General features: G+C 41.0%; 1 protein-coding gene across 1 annotated transcript in view, besides 1 other annotated feature; it reads left to right on the forward strand.

Annotated features, from left to right (window-relative positions):
• HOOK3 (hook microtubule tethering protein 3) overlaps positions 1-26,764 on the forward strand; it is a 133,558-nt gene that overhangs the window by 15,798 nt on the left and 90,996 nt on the right. The window contains exons 3-4 of the mRNA NM_032410.4: positions 12,782-12,854; positions 17,347-17,397. Coding sequence (NP_115786.1) covers positions 12,782-12,854; positions 17,347-17,397 — 124 coding nt within the window. The remainder of the gene's footprint in view (positions 1-12,781; positions 12,855-17,346; positions 17,398-26,764) is intronic.
• Positions 6,297-7,016: an enhancer, noted in NCBI's record as "H3K27ac hESC enhancer chr8:42774215-42774934 (GRCh37/hg19 assembly coordinates)". NCBI's record gives its function as "activates a minimal SCP1, AML or CMV promoter by ChIP-STARR-seq in naive H9 embryonic stem cells {active_cell/tissue: H9 hESC(naive)}" and the evidence as "EXISTENCE:reporter gene assay evidence [ECO:0000049][PMID:30033119]".

The raw sequence follows: 26,764 nt of genomic DNA on the forward strand, positions 1-26,764 counted from the left end.
TCGTTAACGTTAGTGTTCACTCTTGGTGTTGTACATCCTATGGGTTTTGACAAATGCGTTTTATGTATCTACCATGGTAGTATAACAGAATAGTTTCTCTGCCATAACTATCCTCTGTGTTCCGCCTATTTATCCCTCTCTCCAAACCCGGGAAACCCTAATCTTTTTACTTACTGTCTGCATAGTTTTGCCTTTTCTGGAATGTCATATAGTTGGAACCATACACCATGTAACCTTTTCAGATTGACTTCTTTAACTTACAGTATGCATTTTAGGTTCCTCCGTGTCTTTTTGTGACTTGATGGCTCATTTTTTTTTAGAGCTTCCCACTTTTTTTTTCAGCTTTATTGAGATGAAAGTGACATATAATAAATGCACATTTTAAAAAGGATACAATTTGATAAATTTTGACCTATGTATATGCCTGTGAAGCTATCCCCACAATCAAGGCAATGAATGCATCCATCACTTCTAAAAGTATCCTCATGTCCCTTTGTAACCCCTTCTTTCCTGCTACCCTCTTTCCCATCCCCAAGCAAACACTGCTCTGCTTTCTGTCATTATAGATTAATTTGCATTTTCTAAATTTTATATAAATGGACTCAGTATGTTTTGAGGGAAGAAATGTGACTCTTCTTTCATGTAGTATAATTTTGTGATTCATTCATGTTGTTATCTGTATTAATACTTCGTACATTTCCCATTGTATGGATATACCACAATTTACATATCCATTCATCTGTTGATGAACATGTGGGCTATTTCCAGTGGGGCTGTTACAGATAAAGGTGCTTTGAACATTAGTGTACAATTCTTTGTATGAACATATGCTTCAGTTTCCCTTGGGTTTATTCTGTTTCACCTAGGAGAGGAGTGGCTGGATCATATGGTAGGTCTATGCTTAATATTCAAGAAACTGACAAACTGTTTCCAAAGCCAATGTGACATTTACATTTACATCAACAGTGTATGAGGATTCCTGTTGCTCCACAGTCTCACCAACACTTGCTAAGGTCAGTCTTTTCATTTTAGCCATTCTAGTGGCTGTCTAGTGGTTTTAATTTTCATTTCAATAATGATTAATGATGTTTCCTTTGCCAGTCATTAAAAAAAAAGAATTTAAATTCATTGTTGATGCTGTAGAACTTGTAGTTAGTTCTTGGTGAGCCTACACAGTACATATGCCAGAAAAACGGTAAATGCTTTGCGCTGATTCATCTTTGGTTCCCTTTACCTTGATCTGAAAGACATCTGGTTCTCTCCTAACAGCACTGCTTTGTCAGGCTTCTCAAGTGGTGGCTGTTGTTTCTCCCACAGGCTTCATATACCAGGAAACTCATGGTCGTGCTCCTCCATACTGCTTCTAGCCACACCTTCATTTTTCCTAAAGCCCTATAATTTTGAATCTTGTGACAACATTCTCTGCCCTTCATTGTTACTGTAATTCTCCCTCATTTCCCAACAATTTGGGTGGATATAGTACTCTTGTCTAAACTCTTAGTGATTTAAGTATGCACCTAGATGATTTTTCATATTGTTGCCTCTCAGTTTCTTGAGCTCTTCTCCATTAATCTTGTCTTGCACCCAACTTCATCTTCACTTACTCATTCCCATGATTATGCCCTATACCTTATAATTATGAATAATATGTAATCCATCCACAATCTGTTTTCTATTTACCACTATTTAATCACTACTTCCTGTCATTCCCTGTAACTTGCTCTGGTACCAAGATGCCAAGAATTCTTCAGTTCTCTAGCACTGATGGGACTTCAATATGGCCCTTCACCTGCATGCTGTTGTGTCTCTTTCCTCTTAGTCAGCTGAGATTCCATGGCCAATCATATTCACTCCTTGTACACATTTTTAGTTCCTTGGCCCTTCTTGTATTTCTTTGTATTTGTTTGACAATACCACAACTCTGGTTAAATCTACTCAAGATCATCACTTTACCAGTTCTCCCCTCTTTCTTGCATCATCATTTGCCCCTCCTCTACTGGATCATATCCTTAAGCATAGAAGCAAACTGTTACTTCTTTTATCTTTAAAAATATTTCTCCACCGGGCGCCGTGGCTCATGCCTGTAATCCCAGCACTTTGGGAGGTGGAGATGGGCGGATCACTTGAGGTCAGGACTTCAAGATCAGCCTGGCTAACATGGGAACCTGAAACCCCATCATTTGAGTTTCAGTATGGCATTCCAGAGATGTATAGAAATTACTCATAAAAGTTGAAAGAGGCCAAGAGCCAGATGCCGACTTTAGATACTAGGGAAGTTTAATTCCTTCTAATTTTCCCTAGATAAGGAGTTTTGCCTCCTGGTGGCCTGTTTGTTAGTCACTGGGTGGACTTTGCTCCCTTCTAAATTCCTCAGATAAGGAGTTTTTGTCTCCAGGGACTGTCCGATGGTCACCAGGTGATTTTCACTTTCCTCAGTCTCTACAAAAATATAATTAGCTGGGCATGGTGGCGCATACTTGTAGTCCTAACCTCCCATACCTGGGAGGCTGAGGCAGGAGGATCACTGAGTCTCAAAGTCGGATTGTGTTACGGCACTCCAGGCTGAGCAACAGAGCTGGACTCTGTCTCAAAACAAAACAAGACCCAAAAAACCTGCACTTGTCAGGGCTACCGTGATGTAGATATTGCCTGTTATTATTATTATTATTTTTAAAGACAGAGTCTTGCTCTTGTTGCCCAGGTCGGAGAGCAATGGTGCGATTTCGGCTCACTGCAACCTCCACTTTCCAGGTTCAAGCGATTCTCCTGCCCCAGCCTCCCAGTTAGCTGGGATTACAGGTGCCCACCACCATGCCCAGCTAATTTTTGTATTTTTAGTAGAGACGGGGTTTCACTATGTTGGCCAGACTGCTCTCGAACTGCTGACCTCAGGAGGTCCGCCTGTCTCGGCTTCTCAAAGTGCTGGGATTACAGGCATGAGCCACCATGCCTGGCCATATAGTGTTAATTTTAATGGTCCATTCTCAGTTCTTCTCCTAACCTGTCAGCGTCATTTGATAACACTTACCATGTTTATCTCCTTGTAACACTTCTAAAATTTGGCTTCCAGGATACTGAAGTGGTTCTTTAGTAAATCAGATTTGCTCCTGAGAACCCTGCATTAGTGTCCCATTTCACTCAGGCTAAGAATCAAAGTACTTACAGTAGTACATGAGATCCTAAGTGATGTGGGCCACTTGTCACCACTCTGGCCTCATTCACCCAGCATTCTTTCCCACAGCAGCTCCCTGGCTCATCCCAGGCCCACCAAATATCTCCTGCCTAAATGCTTTGGCATGGCAGATCCTCTGCCTCTCCATCAGATGTTCCCTTCCCACTCTCCTCACCACCTTCCAGCACCCCTGACATTGGTCAGTTTTTCAGTGGAGCCTGCCCTGCCCACCCTTTTTAATATTGCCGCCGCCTCTTATCCTGCTCTATTGTAGGTGTCCAGAAAATATTTGTTGAATAAATGAATGTGGAATTATACAATTTAACTGTAAAGTTAAAAGAAAGCTAATTTATCTTTTTTTGGCTTTTTGTTTTCAAGAAGGGTTTACCACTGTTGTTTTCCGTCAACATTTTCTCTGACACCAATTAGGTGCCCTGTAGTTCCATTGGATTCTGATGCTAACTACCTGAGTTAGCTCAGACCTCACAAGTTAAGGGCATAGTCCTTCAATTCTGACAGGAACTACCCAGAATTACTATTGAGAAAAGAACTTTTATCTGAGGAATGAGTCCTTTTAAATTATAAGACCCAGAGAGACATTAAGATGCGTCAGCAGTCACATCCTATTCCCACTTTGCACTGTGTGTTCACCTCTTGAAAGTGCTTGCTGTTGACACAAGTAGCTGTACATTAACCTAATAAAGCTGCACCAGACAGTATAATCCACACCTGTAGCTTAAAGGTGTCTAGCCAGTCACTAATCAATGCTATTTCTGTAAATCAGTGAGAATTTCTAACAACTTTGTATCAACCTACTGTCTGTCTCCCCACCCCCCTTTTCTGAAACCTTTAAATACAAACCTGCACATAACAAAGGCCAAATGGAGCTCATATCCAAGGTTACTTGGGTCTAAGTCTTTTCGGCAGCTGTCTTTGCTTTGGCTCAGGTAAACTCTTTAAATCGTATTTTGTGCTTCATCCTCTTCCTTTTGGGTTGACAGTACAGACCCCACAAATTAAAGTTAAGGTCCCAGTGCCAAAAGACAGCTAGTTGGAAATAGTCCTCAGTGCAGCTGTACTTCTACCCAGCCAACCACAGATTCAAGGGTTCCCATGACCCCGTGCTCCCTTAAGTTGGATAATTTGTTAGAATGACTCACAGCACTCCAGAAAGCACTATAATTACAATCAGTTTTATTATAAATGATACAGCTTGGTAACAGCCAGTGGAAAAGAAGCATATGGCAGAAAACAAAACTAGGGGCAGTGCAGAGCTTCCCTTCCCTTTCTGGGCATGCATCTCACTGAGCGCGTTGAGGTGATCATCAGCCTGGGAGCTCGCTAAACCCTGTTGTTAATGGTTTTTATTTGGGATCTCATTACATAGGCATGATTGAAGTCATTGGTCATGTGATTGAGCTCAGTCTCCGGTACCTCTCCCTTTCCCTTTGGGGCTGAATGTTCCAACCTCTAATAAATCGGTTGGTTCCTCTGTGACCAGCCCCCATCCTAAAGCAATAAAGGGGCCCACAATGAATCCCCTCGTTAGTATAAACTCTGGTATGGTTTAAAGGAGCTCCTTATGAATTACAAAAGACACTCCACTCAGGAAATTCCAAGAGTTTAGGAGATCAGTGCCAGGAAATAAGGGACAGAGACCAAATATATTTTTTATTATAACACAACCACATGCTGATTGAAAGAGTAAGGTCAGAAGTGCCAAGTTGTGCCTCCAAGTGCCATTGGTTTTTGTTTTCAAAGTTCGAGAAGGGGAAAAAGAAAATAGGATGAAGGTCAAGCTGTGGACCCTGCTGGAATGTCTCATAAATGGATATTTTTTATAGTACACTAAGTTGTCTGTTGGAATCTATCCATTATGTACCTGTATTGTTTATTTTGACTTAGGGGCTTAGTGTAAATTCATTATGGATGTGAAATTTTATCATAGTCAACTCTAACACACATTTAATGGCAGAGGACCAAGATTATTTTAGGTCATTAAATGATTATTAGGAAATAGTCATGCCTAAGAATCAATGTATCTGTAAAAAACACTAAAATTTGCTAGTAAAGATGCCATGTTAAGAAATGAAACCAAATACGTTTGTTTTGGATCCCATCTTAATTTGCTTTCATTAAGAAAATTACATTGGGCCGAGGCAGGCAAATTACTTGAGGTTAGGAGTTCGAGACCAGCCTGGCCAACATGGTGAAACCCTGTCTCTACTAAAAATGCAAAAATTAGCCTGGCCTGGTGGTGGATGATTGTAGTCCCAGCTACTAGGGAGGCTGAGGTGGGAGGATCACTTGAACCCAGGAGGCGGAGGTTGCAGTGAGCTGAGATCGCACCATTGCACTCCAGCCTGGGCAACAAAGCGAGACATTCTCTCTCTCAAAAAAAAGAAAAAAGAAAAAATTACATTGCTTCAATAATTCTAGCAGTAGCAATAAAATTTAGGTGTTTTTTTTAACATTTTTTTTTAAATTTTTTTAGTATTTATTGATCATTCTTGGGTGTTTCTCGGAGAGGGGGATTTGGCAGGGTCATAGGACAAAAGTGGAGGGAAGGTCAACAGATAAACATGTGAACAAAGGTCTCTGGTTTTCCTAGGCAGAGGGCCCTGCCGCCTTCCGCAGTGTTTGTGTCCCTGGGTACTTGAGATTAGGGAGTGGTGATGACTCTTAACGAGTATGCTGCCTTCAAGCATCTGTTTAACAAAGCACATCTTGCACCGCCCTTGATCCATTTAACCCTTAGTGAACACAGCACATGTTTCAGAGAGCAAGGGGTTGGGGGTAAGGTTATAGATTAACAGCATCCCAAGGCAGAAGAATTTTTCTTAGTACAGAACAAAATGGAGTCTCCTATGTCTACTTCTACACAGACACAGTAACAATCTGATCTCTCTTTTCCCCACATTTCCCCCTTTTCTATTCGACAAAACCGCCATCGTCATCATGGCCCGTTCTCAATGAGCTGTTGGGTACACCTCCCAGGCGGGGTGGCGGCCGGGCAGAGGGGCTCCTCACTTCCCAGACGGGGCGGCCGGGCAGAGGCGCCCCCCACCTCCTGGATGGGGTGGCTGGCCGGGCGGGGGCTGCCCCCCACCTCCCGGACGGGGCGGCTGGCCGGGCGGGGGCTGCCCCCCATCACCCAGACAGGGCGGCTGCCGGGTGGAGACGCTCCTCACTTCCCAGACGGGGCGGCTGCCGGGCAGAGGGGCTCCTCACTTCACAGACGGGCGGCTGCTGGGCAGAGGGGCTCCTCACTTCACAGACGGGGCGGCTTCCGGGCAGAGGGGCTCCTCACTTCTCAGACGGGGCGGCCAGTCAGAGACGCTCCTCACCTCCCAGACGGGGTGGCGGCGGGGCAGAGACACTCCTCAGATCCCAGACGGGGTCGTGGCCGGGCAGAGGCGCTCTTCACATCTCAGACGGGGTGGCAGGGCAGAGGCGCTCCCCACATCCCAGACGATGGGCGGCTGGGCAGAGACGCTCCTCACTTCCCAGACTGGGCGGCCGGGCAGAGGGGCTCCTCACATCCCAGACGATGGGCGGCCAGGCAGAGACGCTCCTCACTTCCTAGACGGGGTGGCGGCCGGGCAGAGGCTGCAATCTCGGCATTTTGGGTGGCCAAGGCAGGCGGCTGGGAGGTGGAGGTTGTAGCCAGCCGAGATTACGCCACTGCACTCCAGCCTGGGCAACATTGAGCACTGAGTGAGCGAGACTCCGTCTGCAATCCCGGCACCTCGGGAGGCTGAGGCTGGCAGATCACTCGCGGTCAGGAGCTGGAGACCAGCCCAGCCAACACGGTGAAACCCTGTCTCCACCAAAAAATATGAAAACCAGTCAGGCGTGGCGGTGCGCGCCTGCAATCCCAGGCACTCGGCAGGCTGAGGCAGGAGAATCAGGCAGGGAGGTTGCAGTGAGTCGAGATGGCAGCAGTACAGTCCAGCCTTGGCTCGGCATCAGAGGGAGACCATACAAAAAGGGGAGAGGGAGAGGGTTTTTTTTTTTTTCTGTGAAGGCATTTGACATAAGACAATATACTTCTGGAATTATTCTAAGAATTAAAATTAGTGGGCTTTTCCTTTAGCTTAAGCTGTGAGTGGTACAAAAGTTATAAACAAGTAAATGTGTTACTGGCAAATTAAGGAAATGATTTTGTATATTTTCTCTTAGCAGGAGTTAGGACATAGCGAGCAGCTAATAATAGCATCTTACTCATGAAGAGCTTCTCCAGTAAGATTACCACTTGTTATTTACATATCTATGCAGAACTGTCATCTCTTCCTAGTTTTGAGAAAGTTACCTTTATATTGTTTTATTCGAGCCTGCGACCATTAATTAAGGGGTCTTTAGAAAACATTACTGAAATTGTAAAGTACTTATGGCAATGGAAGCTACGGTTAAATGCCTGCGTATATGGCTTCAAAGTTTACCAGGGAAAGTAATACTGAATATGAGAAGTCTAAAGACTACTATTCTTAGTATATTTTGCCTAAGTAGTAGATTGGAAACTTACTAAGTGCTGTCCCTTTAAGCAAATTTACTGAGAAGCTGCTATGTACCAGCCACGGGGGATTGGGAAGGATAGCAGTGAATAAGAGGAAATGCCTGCCCTTCATGAACAAGAAGGTGATGAATGACGCTGGTCTTTTTCTACTTGTGACCTAGTTTACAGAGTATGAAGGGGATAATTAGCCACAGGGCCTTAGTGTTTTGCTAGAACTGGTTATGTGTTGAACTCTCCTGATCTGTTTTAACAAAAATGATTGTACTGTCAACTCTGACAGTTAACTGTCTGATTGAGCTTGGGAAAATTACTTAATTTCTGAGTCTGATGTTCCTTAACTATAACATAAGGATAATAATACCTACCTTCCCTGCAGTGGTTTTGTGAATGCGCAGTGCCTGGTTCAATGCCTGGTATGTTGCTGATATAATACAGATGTTACTGGTGTCATACATGGTGTATATGATAGTAGCAGCTGATTTTGTTGTCTTCCCTTCTGAACTCAGACATGATCCTTAGGTTTTGATTTGGTAATCTTTTAAGGAATAAGCAGGCTGTATCATGATGCCTGATGTGAAACATTGTATTTGAACTTCTCTGAGTTCTTTTATTCATAAGGTGTATTACTCTAAATTGCACATGAAGTATTTTATAACCTTGGAGATCTTGGAGTATATAATTTCTTGGACATTTTAAAGTTTTTTTTTTTTTTAAAGTAAGGGATTTTCTGGTGAGAGAAACACTAAATCTTTCAGCTGAATGAAACTGACTTGCCGCTTGGGTGGTAGGTTCTGGTGGGTTCATGCCTTTCTTTGGCTTTGGATAGTCATCAGCTGCAGGGCACCAGATTCATGTGTGAGTCTTTTTTAGTTGGAAAGCAATACTTGATTGCTAATGATTGTGCTTTTTAAGTGATAGCTTTTTAGGTTAAGGATCAAAAATAATATTGAATATTTTTTGACTTCTGAATTGATTTTTATAACTCTTTAATGTTTTAGTAGAAATCACTTCAGTTGTTTTTCTTTTGATTATCTATTTTTCTAAGTTTTAAGCAAAGAGAACACTTTTGGGGGTTGTCTGTTTCTTTGAGAAGTCAGAGAACCTCAGAACTCAGTTCTCTCCTGACCAGCATGGTCCCTAAAGTTCTGTGTGTCCTCCTTGCAGCCCCTATCCTTTTGGCTACCTATAATTGGACCAGGAATGAAAAAGAGACTCTTTGGATCATTGAGGTTTTCCTGGGGATTTAGAATTGGGACCAAATGACAGCTGGTCTTTAAACAAATTGCTTGGACTGAAGTGATACAGGCTTGGAACATACCTGCAGCCATTTTTAGTGTTGTTTATGGAGGAATAGGAAAAGGCTGGTGTATGGAGAGAAAATGGTGTAGATGGATAGAAAGAAAGAAAGATGAAAGTCAGAGAGTATTGTCCAGTACTTGGTGAGGCCCAGCTATCTTAAGTACCATAACATCAGTGATCTTACAGTAAGTTGCCTTTTTTGCAGAAGTTTGCTCAAATTGGTTTCTCTTAATAACACAAAAGAACCTCAACTAAAGTAGCTTAAAACAAAAATAGGTAAGTATGATTATCCACGTGCTAAACAATGAAGTTATCTCCCTTTCTTACACCATGCAAAAATTGATTATAGACCTAAATATAAGAGCTAAGTTATGTAAAACTTTTAAAAGAAAATATACCAATAAATCTTCATGACTCTCGATTAGGCAGGAGCTTCTTAGATATGACACAGAAAGTTCAAGATAGATAAATTGAACCTCATCAAAATTTAAAACTTTGACCTGGTATGGTGGCTCATGCCTGTGATCTCAGCACTTTGGGAGGCCAAGGCAGGAGAATCACTTGAGGCCAGGAGTTTGAGACCAGCCTGAGCAACATGGTGAGACTCCATCTCTACCAAAAAAAAAAAGAAAGAAAAAAATTTTATCCAGGCACTGTGATGTGTCTTAGCACTAGCTACTCTGGAGGCTGAGGTGGGAAGATGGCTTGAGCCCAGGAATACAAGTACAAGGTTATAGTGAACTGTGATCATGCCATTTCACTCCAGCCTGGGCAACAGAGTGGGAACCTGTCTCTTAAAAAAAAAATTAAAAACTTTGTTTGCAAAATATGCCATCAAGAAAGTGGAAAAACATGGCCGGGCATAGTGGCTCAAGCCTCTAATCCCAGCATTTTGGGAGGCTGAGGTGGGCGGATCACTTGAGGTCAGGAGTTCAAGACCAGCCTGGCCAACATGGTGAAACCCTGTCTCTACTAAAAAATACAAAAATTAGCTGGGCATGGTGGTGCACGCCTGTAAGCCCAGCTACTTGGGAGGCTGAGGCAGGAGAATTGGTTGCAGTGAGCTGAGATTGTGTCACTGCACCCCAGCCTGGGCAACAGAGTGAGACTCTGTCTCAAAAAAAAAAAAAAAGAAGGAAAGAAAGTGGAAAACCAGCCTACAAAATGGGAGAAAATATTCACACATCATATGTCTGTTAAGAGGCTGGTATCCTGAATATTAAAACAAAATACCAAAACTCTTACAATTCAATAAAAAAGACAACACAGTTTTTCAAAGTGCAAATAATTTGAATAGGCTTTTTTCCCAGAGAGGATATACAATGGCCAATAAGCACATGTGAAGATGCTCAGCATCATTAGCCATTAGGGAAATGCAAATCAAAACCATGGTGAGACACCACTTCACAACCACTAGGAGGGCTATAACTAAAAAGACAGATAATAACGAGTATTGGCAAGGCTGTAGAGAACATACATTGCTGGTGAGGATGCAAAATATAGCTGCTTTGGAAGAGTTTGGCCTTGCCTCACATGACCCATCAGTTTCACCCCTAGGCATATACCCAAATGAAACAAATGTCCCCACAGAAACTAGTACAGCAGTGTTCAAGGCATCATTATTCATAATGGCCCCAAAGTGGAAATAGCCCAAGTTACATCAGCTACTAAATGAATAAACAAAATGTGATATATCTATAAATGGAATATTATTTAGCCACAAAAAGGAATGAAGCACTGATACATGCTGCAGTATGGATAAACCTTAAAAAACATGCTAATTGAAAGAAGCCAGACACAAAAGACCACATAGTATATGATTTTATTTCTGTGAAATGTCCAGGATAGACAAATTCATAGAGACAGAAAATAGATTACTGGTTTTCAGGGGCTGGAGAGAAGAGGAAACAGGAGTGATGGCTAATGGAGATAGGGTTTCTTTTTGGAAAGATGGAAGTGCTCTGAGACTAGATTGTGGTGATAGTTGTACCACTCTGGCTATACTAAAATGCATTGTGTACTGTAAATGGGTAAATTGTGTCGTGAGTTATTTCTCAATAAAGCTGTTTCTAAAAGTAAATAGATAATGAAGTTAATATGTTATCCAATGATATGATACAGGCTTCAAAAATAATCATAACAGATTTGTATAGAGGTAACTTAGTTGTAACTTTAAAAAAATATACTTACTACCTAAATAATTTTTCTTTTTTCAGAATAGGTAAAAATTCTGAATATCATGTTGCTTCATTTTAAGCTAATTTGAGTAAAATTTAATACTGATTGTGTATTTATCAGTATGAGTTACAGTAAAAGTTGAAACATACATTTTTTTCTTAACCTTTCAGTCTCATTGTCATTCTGTTTTTTTTTGAGGTGAATAGAGGCAGTTGTGGTGTTATGGAAAGATTTTTGGACTTAGCAATTGCTCAAGCAGGACAAACTTAGGTGTTCTGTGTGTGGCCTTAGATATGTAATTTAATTTTTAGAGGATCAATTTCAAAACCTGTAAAATGGGGCTCATGCTGGGTTTGAAAAGTTTTGTCCTCCCTCCCTCCCTCCCTCCCTTCCTCCCTTCCTTCCTTCCTAGTGTTTATTAGAAATATGGGAAATTTTCCCATAGAAAATTTTTCTAGGAAAATATAAAGGATATTCAGATTCTATCCTCGTTTCAATATGTTTGTCCACACCAGTGTTTTATCTTAAATTTTAAGTCTTTTGTAAACAGCAATGGTGTTCAGATGTGTCCAAAACCTAGTACTACATCTGAGAAAATAGATTCTCGGTATATATTATTTGAAGAAATCAGAATTTAGTGATGTTATTGGTGACCTTTGAAGTATTAGGTGGTGGAGTTCATTGAAATATTAACTGAAAAAGTTATTTTAACTTTCTTTATATATTTATCAGTTTAAAGACTGTGTCACTGGCCAGGGGTGATGGCTCACGCCTGTAATCCCAGCACTTTGGGAGGCCGAGGTGGACGAATCACCTGAGGTCAGGAGTTGAAGACCGGCCTGGCCAACATGGTGAAACCACGTCTCTACTAAAAATAGAAAAATTATCCAGGTGTGGTGGTGTGGGCCTATAATCCTAGCTACTTGGGAGGCTGAGGCGGGAGAATCGCTTAAACCTGGGAGGTAGAGGTTGCAGTGAGCCGAGATCACACCATTGCACTCCAGCCTGCCTGAGTGACGGAGCGAGACTCTGTCTCAAAAAAAAAAACCCAAAAACTATGTCATTGATTATGTGTTAACAGTCAAGTTGACTTCTAGAAAATCTGCAATTATGGTAGATTCTTGACTGTTTTTTTGTTGTTGTTGTTTTTGTTCGGTTTTTTGTTTGTTTGTTTTGAGACAGGGTCTCACTCTGTTGCCCAGGCTGGAGTGCAGTGGTGTAATCTTGGCTTGCTGCAACCTCTGCCTCCCGGGTTCAAGGGATTCTCCCACCTCAGCCTCCTCAGTAGCTGGGATTACAGGCATGTCCCACCACACCCGGCTAATTTTTGTAATTCTAGTAGAGACAAGGTTTCACCATGTTGGCCAGGTGTGGTCTTGAACTCCTGACCTCAAGTGATCTGCCCACCTCAGCCTCCCAAAGTGCTGGGATTACAGGATGAGCCACCATACCTGGCCAACTTGACTGTTAGTAACACGAAAGTTATTTCGTGGCTGATATGTGTCAAATACATTTTTATGTTGCAGTTAAGTGATTATATGGGATGAGATTCAATTTTCTTTGTTTAGCTTGATAGCTACATGATTTTAATATGTAAGCTTTTTCTTATTTTGCAGAGATCCTGCATATTTTGATGAAAATTGGCTAAACAGAATCAAAACTGAAGTAGGAGATAATTGGAGGCTAAAGGTATTTTATTTTTCCACCTGTTAAATCTTTAAATATTTGTATGTGTATAATATCTGTTGATTTTTTTTTGTCTGATGTGTCCAGTGAGCTTTAGAAGCTTAGGTAGCCTGTAATGAAATAATGTAGAATTGAAGATTGAACTCACCTGGAGTTGTACACCTAGGCATAACATAATATGAGTCAGTAACGCATAGCAACCAAGGGCATGGAGCCAGTGTGCCTGTGTCCACATCATAGCTCTGCCATTTACTGTCTATGGGGAAGTGTTGTGACCTTCCTTTGCCTTGGTTTCCCCATTTGTAAAATGAGGATTAATATAGCTTCTACCTCACAGAAATGAGTTAATATTATGCCAAGTACTTAGAATAGTGCACGTGGTAGTTATAATGAGATAACACTGATCATTATTAACTGTATCGTAAACACTCAGAGAATGAAACATTTTCATTTCCTTCCTAGTAACCTTTAAGTATTTTACAAGTTTCTTTAACCAAAACTTACAATAAGAAAAAAAGTTTACATTGCAACCAATTTCCTACCTAAATGTGTGTGTGTATATAGCTGAACAGGTTTTTATCCTTACATTAGGCAGTGATGTTTTCATTTTATTTTTAAAAATGTTTGCGTAATCCACCAAATTATTTTTTTAACTTTATGTTTTGTTTTTTGTTTTTTGAGATGGAGTCTTCTCTGTCCCCCAGGCTGGAAAGCAGTGGTGCAATCTTCGCTCACTGCAACCTTTGCCTCCCTGGTTCAAGTGATTCTCCTGCCTTAGCCTTCCAAGGAGCTTAGGATTACAGGCATCCGCCACCACACCCAGCTAATTTTTGCATTTTTGTAGAGACGGGGTTTCACCCTGTTGACCAGGCTGGTCTCAAACTCCTGATCTCAGGTGATCTGCCCACCTTGGCCTCTCAAAGTGCTGGAATTACAAGCATCAGCCATCAAGCCCGGCCTATATTTTGAAATAATTATAGATTCACAAGGAGTTGCAAAAAATGTGTACTAAGAGGTTATGTGTACCTTTTACCCAGTTTCTCCAGTGGTAACATCTTGCGTAACTATAATACAATATCAAAACTAGGGAACTTGCATTGGTACAGTCCATATTTTATTCAAATTTCACCAAGGTTACTTGCACTCTATGTTAGTGTGTGCAGTTCTGTGTAGCTCTGTCTCATGTGTAGCTTTGTGTAACTACCACCACAGTGAAAGACCCAGAACTATTCCGTCACCACACAGCTTCCTGTGCTGCTTCTATAACCACATCCACACCACCCCTAATCCCGTGCAACCCCTAATTTGTTCTCCATCTCTGTGATTTTGTTAACATTAAATTGATTGTTTTGACCCAGTGATTGTCATTTCTGGCAGTGTGGAGAAACCTGCGACCATTTCTTTTTGATACAGACTGGCAAAGACTCAGACATACAAATGATTTAACCATGCGAGGCCCCTGAACTTAAGACATGTTCAGTTTGAGTTGTCTTTGTATTTTCCCCAAGAAACATGTTTGATAAGAAAAGTATTTATTTGTTGCTTAAGTATTGGGTTTGCCAAAATCTAATTCCTTCTTTTTACTAAGCTAGTGAATGAAAACCGTTTAATGGCACTGGTTTTTTTTTTTTTTTGGTTTTTTTTTTTTTGGAGACAGTCTCACCTTGTCACCCAGGCTGTAGTGCAGTGGTGCAATCTCGGCTCGCTGCAACCTCCGCCTCCCGAGTTCAAAAGATTCTCCTGCCTCGGTCTCCCGAGTAGCTGGGATTACAGGCGCACGCCATGATGCCTGGCTAATTTTTGTATTTTTCAGTAGAGATGGTTTCGTCATGTTGGCTAGGCTGGTCTTGAACTCCTAACCTCAGGTGATCTGCCCGCCTTGGCCTCCCAAAGTGCTGGGTTTACAGGCGTGAGCCACTGTGCCCGGCCGGCCCTGTTTTAATTTCTAAACAGTCTTTCAAGGACAGGCAATTTATTTATTTTTATTTACTTTTTTTTGAGACAGGGTCTCACTCTCACCCAGGATAGAGTATAGTGGCACAGTCTCAGCTCACTGCAACCTCCACCTCCTGAGCTCAACCAATCCTCCTACCTCAGCCTTTCAAATAGCTGGGACTACAGGTGCAGGCCAACACACCAGGCTAATGTTTTAAATTTTTGTAGGGATGAGGTCATGCTATATGCTCAGTCCGGTCTCGAACTCCTGGGCTCAAGCCATCCTCCTGCCTCAACCTGGCAGGCCAGGCGTGGTGGCTTACGCCTGTAATCCCAGCACTTTGGGAGGTCAAGGCGGGTGGATCACTTGCGGTCAGGAGTTCGAGACCAGCCTGGCCAACATGGTGAATCCCCGTTTCTAGTAAAAATAGAAAAATTAGGCCCGGCATGATGGGTCATGTCTGTAATCCCAGCACTTTGGGAGGGTGAGGTGGGTGGATCATAGGTCAAGAGATCGAGACCATCCTGGCCAACATGGTGAAACCCCATTGTACTAAAAATACAAAAATTAGCTGGACATGGTGTTGCACGCCTATAGTCCCAGCTACTCGGGAGGCTGAGGCAAGAGAATCACTTGAACCTGGGAGGTGGAGGTTGCAGTGAGCCAAGATGGCGCCACTGCACTCCAGCCTGGCGACAGAGCAAAACTCTGTCTCAGAAAAAAAAAAAGAAAAACAAAATTAGTCAGGTGTGGTGCCGGGCGCCTGTAATTCCAGCTACCTGGGAGGCTGAGGCATGAGAATTGCTTGAACCCAGGAGGCGGAGGTTGCAGTGAGCCGAGATTGCGCCACTGTACTCCAGCCTGGGCGACAGAGCAAGACTCAGTCTCAAAAAAAAAAAAGATTATTTTTTAATGTTACAGCATGTTTAAAACAATTTATGATGTTTCAAATAATGCTACTGATCATTTTGTGTCTGCTTACTGGCTTGATCAGAGAGAGTTGTATATCTCCTCCCAGCAGGCACACAGATAGATACACATATACTGTCTCCAGTGTCATGAGTAAGGCAGTGGTAGTATATGGAGATGGGTAGAAAAGTTTATCATAGTCTTAATATTCAGGACTGAACTTCTTATTCTCTATATTTTATGCTTTACTTCAGTTTTATGATGCCATTGATTAAAGACAAGATATACGACCGGGCACAGTGGCTCATGCCTGTAATCTCAACATTTTGGGAGGCCAAGGTGGGCGAATCACCTGAGGTCAGAAGTTCGAGACCAGCCTGGCCAACATGGTGAAACCCCGTCTCTACTAAAAATACAAAAATTAGCCAGGTGTGGTGGCAGGCGCCTGTAATCCCAGCTACTCAGAAAGCTGAGGCACGAGAATTGCTTGAACCTGGGAGGCAGAGGTTGCAGTGAGCCAAGATTGCGCCATTGCACTCCAGCCTGCCTGGGCAACAGAGGGAGACTCTGTCTCAAAAAAATAAATACATAAATAAAGATAAGATGTAGCTTTTTGTGATGTGATTTAAAAAACTACCATTTTAAATGAATGGTAGTTGATTTTCAAGGCATCTAATTTCAAATATTAAAAATACGGGAAAATGAACATCCTAGAATGAAAGAAAGCATATTATATGCATTTTCCATATCTGCAAATTTTTGTAGATGTTTAAGCATGTTAATTTTATGAGACCTGTAAAGATAAATAAGCAAGTTTTCAGTTTATTTTCTTCCTTACAAATAAATATGCCTTTAATTAAGTACTGGATCACATTGCTGTGATTCAGGCTCTTATTTGAAAGCCTCAGTCCCTACTAGCTTCTTTTCTAGGATGTCTCAACTACAGACACCACCCAGGGACAGCTAGATCAATAAAATAATCAATAGAACTATATCACATACCCATTTAACCTAACAAAACTGTATGAGTTGGGTCAAACAGAAAGAAAAAAATTATAGTTTACAATAAATAGGGCAGGTGATTCTGCCCATTCTTCACCTAACATTATGGCTCATAAATACTTACTTTGATGTTTGACTAAAGAAACAATAGTTTTTTTTTCTGGTAGGGGAAGAATTTAGAGACATTATACTTCATGGGTTATTTTAAAGATTATTTTACTATAATTTTTGCCTAATACTCTCTTTAGAACTTAATTTCTATATAGATGCAGTTTGACTTTTCTAGGGAGAATAGCTCTGAACTCAAGTCTTCATTAAGGATGGCATATTTTTACTTTACCCACAGAAAACCTAAATAATTTAATCTTATTGTTAAGTCTCATTCAGTTACCCTCCAGTTGTTTTCAGTGTGGTCATAACATTGAAAATTCTACATAATTGGAGACATAATTTGTTTTATAAATCTCTTGGATTATATAGTAGTACTTTTTGATGATGATGATAATTCAAATATGCTTTTGAATTTTATTTGTTAATATTTACTTTATGATTAACTGCAGTGATTGGTTGGCTCAGAAATTTTTTATGTTAAATTATGTTTTGATCTGTCTTGCCTTTTACCCAGTTGTTTTCTCTCTCTTTAAACAGATAAGCAATTTAAAGAAAATTTTAAAAGGAATCTTGGATTATAATCATGAGGTAAAGACTTTTTTCTCATTCTGCTTAGAAGTGTTACTATCGGATAGTTTAATTTTATAATAGTTTCAAGTTAAGGAAAAATTGCTTTCAAAATTAATAATCAGTTTGTCGTTCATTTTATAGTTTCTATAATAGGATGATGGTTCAACCAACCATCTGTCAGTCAGTTAATAGATGGATGATCCTTTTCACTGTATTATAGGTAGTTTGTAGATGATTTATAATTAATGTCAAATTTTACTTTATGTCATCTATTAATTCTGTCTTTTTTCCTTTACTTGTGAAGATAGTTTTAGAGTTCATGCACCATTGTCTACTTTCATTTTATTCCTTGGCAAACCCCCCACCCCTAGATGAACTCAGTTTGTCCTCTGAGTCTGCATCAGAACAGTCAGACATTGCTGGGGAAGAAATCAGGCAGTGGAAATAACTAGTTTTAGTTTAAATTTTGTGATCAAAGATGCCAAATGGACACAACACCATACCCTAGTTATTTCCCTACTGTGTTTTCCTACAAGCTTACCTGCATTTAGTACCCATGTTTATACCCGTAGCACTGATCTTCCCCATCTCAGTAAGTGACCCTACCATTCACCCTATTACTCAAGCCCAGAACCTAGAAAGCCTCCTACAGTCCTTCTTTCTTCTAATATCATCTGTAAGACCCATTAGTCAAACCTTCAAAATAGATCTTTCTCCATCTGTGCGGCCACCAACTATGCCAAGCCATCATTCACTCTTGCTTAGATTACTAAAGTAGTCTCGCTGGTGACCCTGATTTTACTGTTGCATTATTTTTAAAAATTTAAAGGTGATCACATCAGTCTCCTCCTTAAAGTCCTCTGTGGTTTCCCCTTGCATTGAGAATCATATCCACATTCTTACCATGAACGACTTCCTAACTACTTTTCCCGCACCTAAGGCACTGGAGCCACATTCTCTGCTTCTGTGCCTGAAATCTGCTAAGTCCTTTTCTTCCGTAGCCTTTGCCCCACTGCTGTTGCTGTATGCAGTGTTCTTCCCTCAGCTCCTGGCATTTCTTGTTCTTGCTTTTTTGCACTTTCTGTTACCTCCTTACAGAGACTTTCTCTGAGCATGTGCTGTCTCAGCCAGGGCCACATTCACCCCTCAGCCCCATTATTCAGTCACATCACCCTGTTTATTGTTTATTCCCTTTAATCCTGGCCATATCAGCAGTCTCCTTATTTGTTGGTTTATTTGGTTGTCTCACCCCATTATATTCTTCTCTTCTCTTTTTTTTTTTTTTTTTTTTTTTTGAGACGGAGTCTCGCTCTGTCACCCAGTGTGGAGTGCAGTGGCGCAATCTCAGCTCACTGCAAGCTCTGCCTCCCGGGTTCATGCCATTCTCCTGCCTCAGCCTCCCAAGTAGCTGGGACTACAGGTGCCTGCCACCATGCCCGGCTAATTTTTTTGTATTTTTAGTAGAGATGGGGTTTCACTGTGTTAGCCAGGATGGTCTCGATCTCCTGACCTCGTGATCTGCCCGCCTCGGCCTCCCAGAGTGCTGAGATTACAGGCATGAGCCACCGCACCTTCCCTTCCCTTCCCTCTTCCCTCTTCCCATCCCGTCCTTTCTTTTTTGACAGATTCTCGCTGTGTCGCCCAGGGTAGAGTGCAGTAGCGCGATCTCAGCTCACTGCAACCTCCGCCTCCTGGGTTCACGCCATTCTCCTGTCTCAGCTTCCCGAGAAGCTGGGACTACAGGTGCGTACCACCACATCCAGCTAATTTTTGTATTTTTGGTAGAGACAGGGTTTCACCATATTGGCCAGGCTGGTCTCAAACTCCTGACCTTGTGATCCACCAACCTTGGCCTCCCAAAGTGCCTGAGCCACTGTGCCTGGCCACCCCATTATATTATTAGAGCCATGAAATGAGGTTGGAGCCAGACCTCATGTAGTCATTGGTACATCCCAGCCATCAGGACAGTGCTATTACACTGCAGGCACTCAGAGTTTCCTAATCATGTCAAATAAATATTAATTTCCAAGAAAAACATGATATTTAAGATACATATGAATGCGAACATAGGGTTGGTATTAGACACGTTGACAAAATGTTTTTTTCCTTCGACCAGAAGTACTTATATTTACTAGATCTTTTGGGCTTAGAAGAGGTGATTGGTTTTGTTCTGAGCATCATGCCTATTACATAAAAAAAAAGTAGTTTTTAATAAAGTATTACGATAAAAAAGAATAGAAAATGTATGGCATTGAAGATAGTGATGCTGTTTCAGGAGTGTCATCCTGAGCCAGGTCTCACTCAGTGGAAGCCACCCAGAGGAAATCCGAGCCATTATCCTCGTCTCATACATGAGAAGCCAAGGCTCATATGCACCTCTTTCTCTTCCCTTCTTGTAATTTTTCTTTTTTTTCTCCCCCTCACCCAGCCCCCTGACATTTTTGGGTCCTAGGCCTACTGGTGTTACCTGTAGCCCCACATAGCATCCCCTAGCCTGAGCGTGCCTGAGAGGAAGAAGAAATCCAGTCTCTGAAAATGGTGTGGTGTCTTTGGAACTTATGCCCTTTTAGAAACCTAATTATATTCATTACTACATGATTAGGAGAAAGAGTTGGAGCAGGAGTAAAACTAAAATCAGTACGTGTGGTTGGAGTTTGCCTAATTTGAGCCTACACTGCCGTTCAGTGAGCCCATACCTATATGATTCAGTATCAGTTTCCCCATTTATTCTCATAGCCCAAGGTTCTTTTCCTTCTTACTGCCTACTGTGATTTATATTATATATTTCTTTGTGCATTTAGTAATTCATTTTATGTGTTATACTTCATAAACTAGATGAAGGTACTTGCCTATATATTTAAACATTTTGCAAATGCACACCCCTTTGACACCATAGTTCTATTTCTAGAAATTGGTCTTTAAGAACTACATTAGGCTATCCACCTCATCATTATTTCATAGTAGGCAAAAATTGAATATAACCCAAGGTCTAACAATAGAAAATTATGAAACATGTTGTAGGACAAATGCCATTCAGCCATGAAAATACATATTTATAAATACTCTTTAATAATATAAAAGTGTGAGATTGTATATGCCATATGATACCAGTTTTACATGAATATACATAAATGTGTTTATAAAAATGTGTATGTAGGTCCACAATTTCAGATCCCAATCCTTTAGGCCAGATTCATTTTGGAATTCAGAGTTTTTCAGATTTTTGGAAAGGTAACATGATGCATACACTACGTATTGTGTAAATAACCCAGTGGGGCCTGGGGTTACACCATTATTCCATTATATTAACATTTCTGCAGCAAAACATAAGATTATTCACTCTAGGATAAACAAGAAGAATAAATTCATGGTTCTGTCATTGCCTTTCACCCTCCTTCTGGGAATTCCTTTGTCTTTCTCCTATCTTATTTTGTTTGCTGAATTCGGTGTATTTCTCTTTTTTGGTTTACTTTCATGTTTTGGTAGAGCCCATTTTCTAGTGGCATCTTCAGAAAAATACATGAGAGATACTTATTTTAAGCCCCACAAATCTGAAAATAATCTTAGTTCTCTTTACACTGTGGTTTAGTTGAATATGGAATTCCAGGTTGGAAGTCATTCCTCTGTATTTTGAAATCATTGCTCCATGCCCTGTGGCTTCCAGTGCTGCTGCTGACATCTCTCATGTGGACTCCCACTCCCTGTTGGTAACTTGTTCACTTTCTGGGACCTTTTAGGTCCTTTTTATCTCCATGTTCATGCTGCTGTGCTTTGGTATGAGAAGGAGTTTTTTTGTTGTTCTTTTCTTTTGTTTTATTGCGCTTGGCACTTAGCACACCCTTAAAATCTGAATGCCTACTAGCTTTAGTTTTAGGAAATTTTCATCTTATTATTATTTATTTTATCTCATTTATTTATTTATTTATTTTATTACTTTACTTTTCTTTACTTTATCCTCTTTCTGAACTATTTAGCTATTGAACCGCCTGGGTTAATCCTTTAATTATCTAACCCTTTCTCTCGTTTTTTCTCTCTTGTGTTTTTGCTCTACTTACTGAGATGATTATACACCTTCTTCTAGCTTGCCTGTTGAATTTTTTCATTTCTGCTATCACATTTTTAATTTGCAAGAGCGCTTTATGTTTTCTGAATGTAACTTTTATATCCTCTTCTTGCTTATGAATATGTTTCTCTTATCTCTATGAGAATATTAATCATAGATTTTTTTTACTTTCATATGTTTTTTTAATTATTACACTTTAAGTTCTGAGATACATGTGCAGAACGTGCAGGTTTGTTACATAGCTATACACGTGCCATGGTGGTTTGCTGCACCCATCAACCCATCATCTATATTAGGTATTTCTCCTAATGCTATCCCTCCCCTAGCCCCCCTCCCCCGCACCAGGCCCCAGTGGGTGATGTTCCCTCCGTGTGTCCATGTGTTCTCACTGTTCAGTTCCCACCCATGAGTGAGAACATGCGGTGTTTGGTTTTCTGTCCTTGTGATAGTTTGCTCAGAATGATGGTTTCTGAGCTTCATTCATGTCCCTGCAAAGGACATGAACTCATCCTTTTTTATGGCTGCATGGTATTCCATGGTGTATATGTGCCACATTTTCTTTATCCAGTCTATCATTGATGGGCATTTGGGTTGGTTCCAAGTCTTTGCTATTGTGAATAGTGCTGCAATAAACATGTGTGCATGTGTCTTTATAGTACATTGATTTATAATCCTTTGGGTATATACCCAGTAATGGGATTGCTGGGTCAAATAGTATTTCTGGTTCTAGATCCTTGAGGAATCACCACACTGTCTTCCACAATGGTTGAACTAATTTACAGTCCCACCAACAGTGTAAAAGCATTCCTATTTCTCCATATCCTCTCCAGCATCTATTGTTTCCTTACTTTTTAATGATCGCCATTCTAACTGGTGTGAGATGGTATCTCATTGTGGTTTTGATTTGCATTTCTCTAATGACCAATGATGGTGAGCTTTTTTTCATATGTTTATTGGCCATATAAATGTCTTCTTTCGAGAAGTGTCTGTTCATACCCTTCGCCCACTTTTTGATGGGGTTGTTTTTTTTTCTTGTACATTTGTTTAAGTTCCTTGTGGATTCTGGATATTAGCCCTTTGTCAGATGGATAGATTGCAGAAATTTTCTCCCATTCTGTAGGTTGCCTTTTCACTCTGAGGATAGTTTCTTTTGCTGTGCAGAGGCTCTTTAGTTTTCTTAGATCTCATTTGTCAATTTTGGCTTTTGTTGCAGTTGCTTTTGGTGTTTTAGTCATGAAGTCTTTGCCCATGCCTGTGTCCTGAATGGTATTGCCTAGGTTTTCTTCTAGGGTTTTTATGGTTTTAGGTCTTACATTTAAGTCTTTAATCCATCTTGAGTTAATTTTTGTATAAGGTGTAAGGAAGGGGTCCAGTTTCAGTTTTCTGCATATGACTAGCCAGTTTTCCCAGCACCATTTATTAAATAGGGAATCCTTTTCCCATTGCTTGTTTTTGTCAGGTTTGTCAAAGATCAGATGGTTGTAGATGTGTGGCATTATTTCTGAGGCCTCTGTTCTGTTCCATTGGTCTGTATATCTGCTTTGGTACCAGTACCATGCTGTTTTGGTTACTGTAGCCTTGTAGTATAGTTTGAAGTCAGGTATTGTGATGCCTCCAACTTTGTTCTTTTTGCTTAAGATGGTCTTGGCTATACTGGCTCTTTTTTGGTTCCATATGAAATTTAAAGTAGTTTTTTCTAATTCTTTGAAGAAAGTCAGTGGTAGCTGTATGGGGATACCATTGAATCTATAAATTGCTTTGGGCAGGATGGCCATTTTCACGACATTGATTCTTCCTATCCATGAGCATGGAATATTTGTTCATTTGTTTGTGTCCTCTCTTATTTCCTTGAGCAGTGGTTTGTAGTTCTCCTTGAAGAGGTCCTTCACATCCCTTGTGAGTTGTGTATTCCTAGGTATTTTATTCTCTTAGTAGCAGTTGCAAATGGGAGTTGACTTATGATTTGGTTATTTGTCTGTTATTGGTGTATAGGAATGCTTGTGATTTTTGCACATTGATTTTGTATCCTGAGACTTTGCTGAAGTTGCTTATCAGCTTAAGGAGATTTTGGGCTGAGATGATGGGGTTTTCTAAATATACAATCATGTCATCTGCAAACAGAGACAATTTGGCTTCCTCTCTTTCTATTTGAATATCCTTTATTTCTTTTTCTTGCCTGATTGCCCTGGCCAGAACTTCCAATACTATGTTGAATAGGAGTGGTGAGAGAGGACATCCTTGTCTTGTGCCAGTTTTCAAAGGGAATGCTTCCAGCTTTTGCCCATTCAGTATGATATTGGCTGTGGGTTTGTCATAAGTAGCTGTTACTATTTTGAGATACATTCCATCAATACCTAGTTTATTGAGAGTTTTTAGCATGAAGGGGTGTTGAATTTTATCGAAGGCCTTTTCTGCATCTATTGAGATAATTGTACGGTTTTTGTCATTGGTTCTGTTTATGTGATGTATTATGTTTACTGATTTGAGTATGTTGAACCAGCCTTACATCCCAGGGATGAAGCCAACTTGATGGTGGTGGATAAGCTTTTTGATGTGCTGCTGGATTCAGTTTGTCAGTATTTTATTGAGGATTTTTTCATCGATGTTCATCAGAGATATTGGCCTGAAATTTTCTTTTTTTCTTGTGTCTCTGTCAGGTTTTGGTGTCAGGATGATGCTGGCCTCATCAAATGAGTTAGGGAGGAGTACCTCTTTTTCTGTTGTTTGGAATAGTTTCAGAAGGAATGGTACCAGCTCCTCTTTGTACCTCTGGTAGAATTCAGCTGTGAATCCATCTGGTCCTGGGCTTTTTTTGGTTGGTAAGGTATTACTGCCTTAATTTCAGAACTTGTTATTGGTGTATTCAGGGATTTGACTTCTTTCCTGGTTTAGTGTTTAGAGGATGTATGTGTCTAGGAATTTATCCATTTCTTCTAGATTTTCTAGTTTATTTGCATAGAGGTGTTTACAGTATTCTCTGATGGTAGTTTGTATTTCTGTGGGATCAGTGGTGATATCCTATTTATCATTTTTTATTGTGTCTATTTGATTCTTCTCTCTTTTCTTCTTTATTAGTCTGGCCAGTGGTCTATTTTGTTAATCTTTTAAAAAAAAACCAGCTCCTGGATTCATTGATTTTTTTTTTTTTTTTTGGAAGGGTTTTTCATGTCCTTCAGTTCTGCTCTGATCTTAGTTATTTCTTGTCTTCTGCTAGCTTTTGAAATTGTTTGCTCTTGCTTCTCTAGTTCTTTAAATTGTGATGTTAGGGTGTCGATTTCAGATCTTTCCTGCTTTCTCCTATGGGCATTTAGTGCTATAAATTTCCCTCTAAACACTGCTTTAGCTGTGTCCCAGAGATTCTGGTACATTGTGTCTTTGTTCTCATTGATTTCAGAGAACTTACTTATTTCTGCCTTCATTTCATTATGTACCCAGTAGTCATTCAGGAGCAGGTTGTTCAGTTTCCATGTAGTTGTGCGGTTTTGAATGAGTTTTTAATCCTCAGTTCTAATCTGATTGCACTGTGGTCTGAGAAACTGTTTGTTATGATTTCTGTTCTTTTGCATTTACTGAGGAGTGTTTTACTTCCAATTATGTGGTCAATTTTAGAATAAGTGCAATGTGGTGCTGAGAAGAATGTATATTCTGTTGATTTGGGGTGGAGAGTTCTGTAGATGTCTATTAGGTCTGCTTGGTCCAGAGCTGAGTTCAAGTCCTGAATATCCTTGTTAATTTTCTGTCTCATTAATCTGTCTAATATTGACAGTGGGGTGTTAAAGTCTCCCACTATTGTTGTGTGGGAGTCTAAGTCTCTTTATAGGTCTCTAAGAACTTGCTTTATGAATCTGGGTGCTCCTGTATTGGGTGCATATATATTTAGGATAGCTAGCTCTTCTTGTTGAATTGATCCCTTTACCGTTATGTAATGGCCTTCTTTGTCTCTTTTGATCTTTGTTGGTTTATAGTCTGTTTTATCAGAGACTAGCATTGCAACCCCTGCTTTTTTTTTTTTTTTGCTTTCCATTTGCTTGGTAAATCTTCCTGCATCCCTTTATTTTGAGCCTATATGTGTCTTTGCATGTGAGATGAGTTTCCTGAATACAGCACACTGATGGGTCTTGACTCTTCATCCAATTTGCTAGTCTGTGCCTTTAAATTGGGGCATTTAGCCCATTTACATTTAAGGTTAATACTATGTGTGAATTTGATCCTGTCATTATGATGCTAGTGGTTATTTTGCCTATTAGTTGATGCAGTTTCTTCATGGTGTTGATGGTCTTTACAATTTCGTATGTTTTTGCAGTGGCTGGTACCAGTTTTTCCTTGCCATATTTAGTGCTTCCTTCAGGAGCTCTTGAAAGGCAGGCCTGGTGGTGACAAAATCTCTCAGCATTTGCTTGTCTGTAAAGGGTTTTATTTCTCCTTCACTTGTGAAGCTTAGTTTGGCTGGGTATGAAATTCTGGGTTGAAAATGCTTTTCTTTTATTTATTTATTTATTTATTTATTTATTTATTTTTATTGATCATTCTTGGGTGTTTCTCGCAGAGGGGGATTTGGCAGGGTCACAGGACAATAGTGGAGGGAAGATCAGCAGATAAACAAGTGAACAAAGGTCTCTGGTTTTCCTAGGCAGAGGACCCTGCTGCATTCCGCAGTGTTTGTGTCCCTGGGTACTTGAGATTAGCGAGTGGTGATGACTCTTAACGAGCATGCTGCCTTCAAGCATCTGTTTAACAAAGCACATCTTGCACCGCCCTTAATCCATTTAACCCTGAGTGGATACAGCACATGTTTCAGAGAGCACAGGGTTGGGGGTAAGGTCACAGATCAACAGGATCCCAAGGCAGAAGAATTTTTCTTAGTACAGAACAAAATGAAAAGTCTCCCATGTCTACCTCTTTCTACACAGACAACGGCAACCATCTGATTTCTCACTCTTTTCCCCACCTTTCCCCCCTTTCTATTCCACAAAACCGCCATTGTCATCATGGCCCGTTCTCAATGAGCTATTGGGTACACCTCCCAGACGGGGTGGTGGCCGGGAAGAGGGGCTCCTCACTTCCCAGTAGGGGCGGCCGGGCAGAGGCGCCCCTCACCTCCCGGACGGGGCGGCTGGTCGGGCGGGGGGCTGACCTTCCCACCTCCCTCCTGGACGGGGCGGCTGGCCGGGCGGGGGGCTGACCCCCCTACCTCCCTCCCGGATGGGGCAGCTGGCCGGGCAGAGGGGCTCCTCACTTCCCAGTAGGGGCGGCCGGGCAGAGGCGCCCCTCACCTCCCGGACGGGGCGGCTGGCCGGGCGGGGGGCTGATCCCCCCACCTCC

The sequence above is a fragment of the Homo sapiens genome, chromosome 8 (assembly GCF_000001405.40).
Source record: "Homo sapiens chromosome 8, GRCh38.p14 Primary Assembly".
In the NCBI taxonomy this organism is placed as follows: Eukaryota; Metazoa; Chordata; class Mammalia; order Primates; family Hominidae; genus Homo; species Homo sapiens.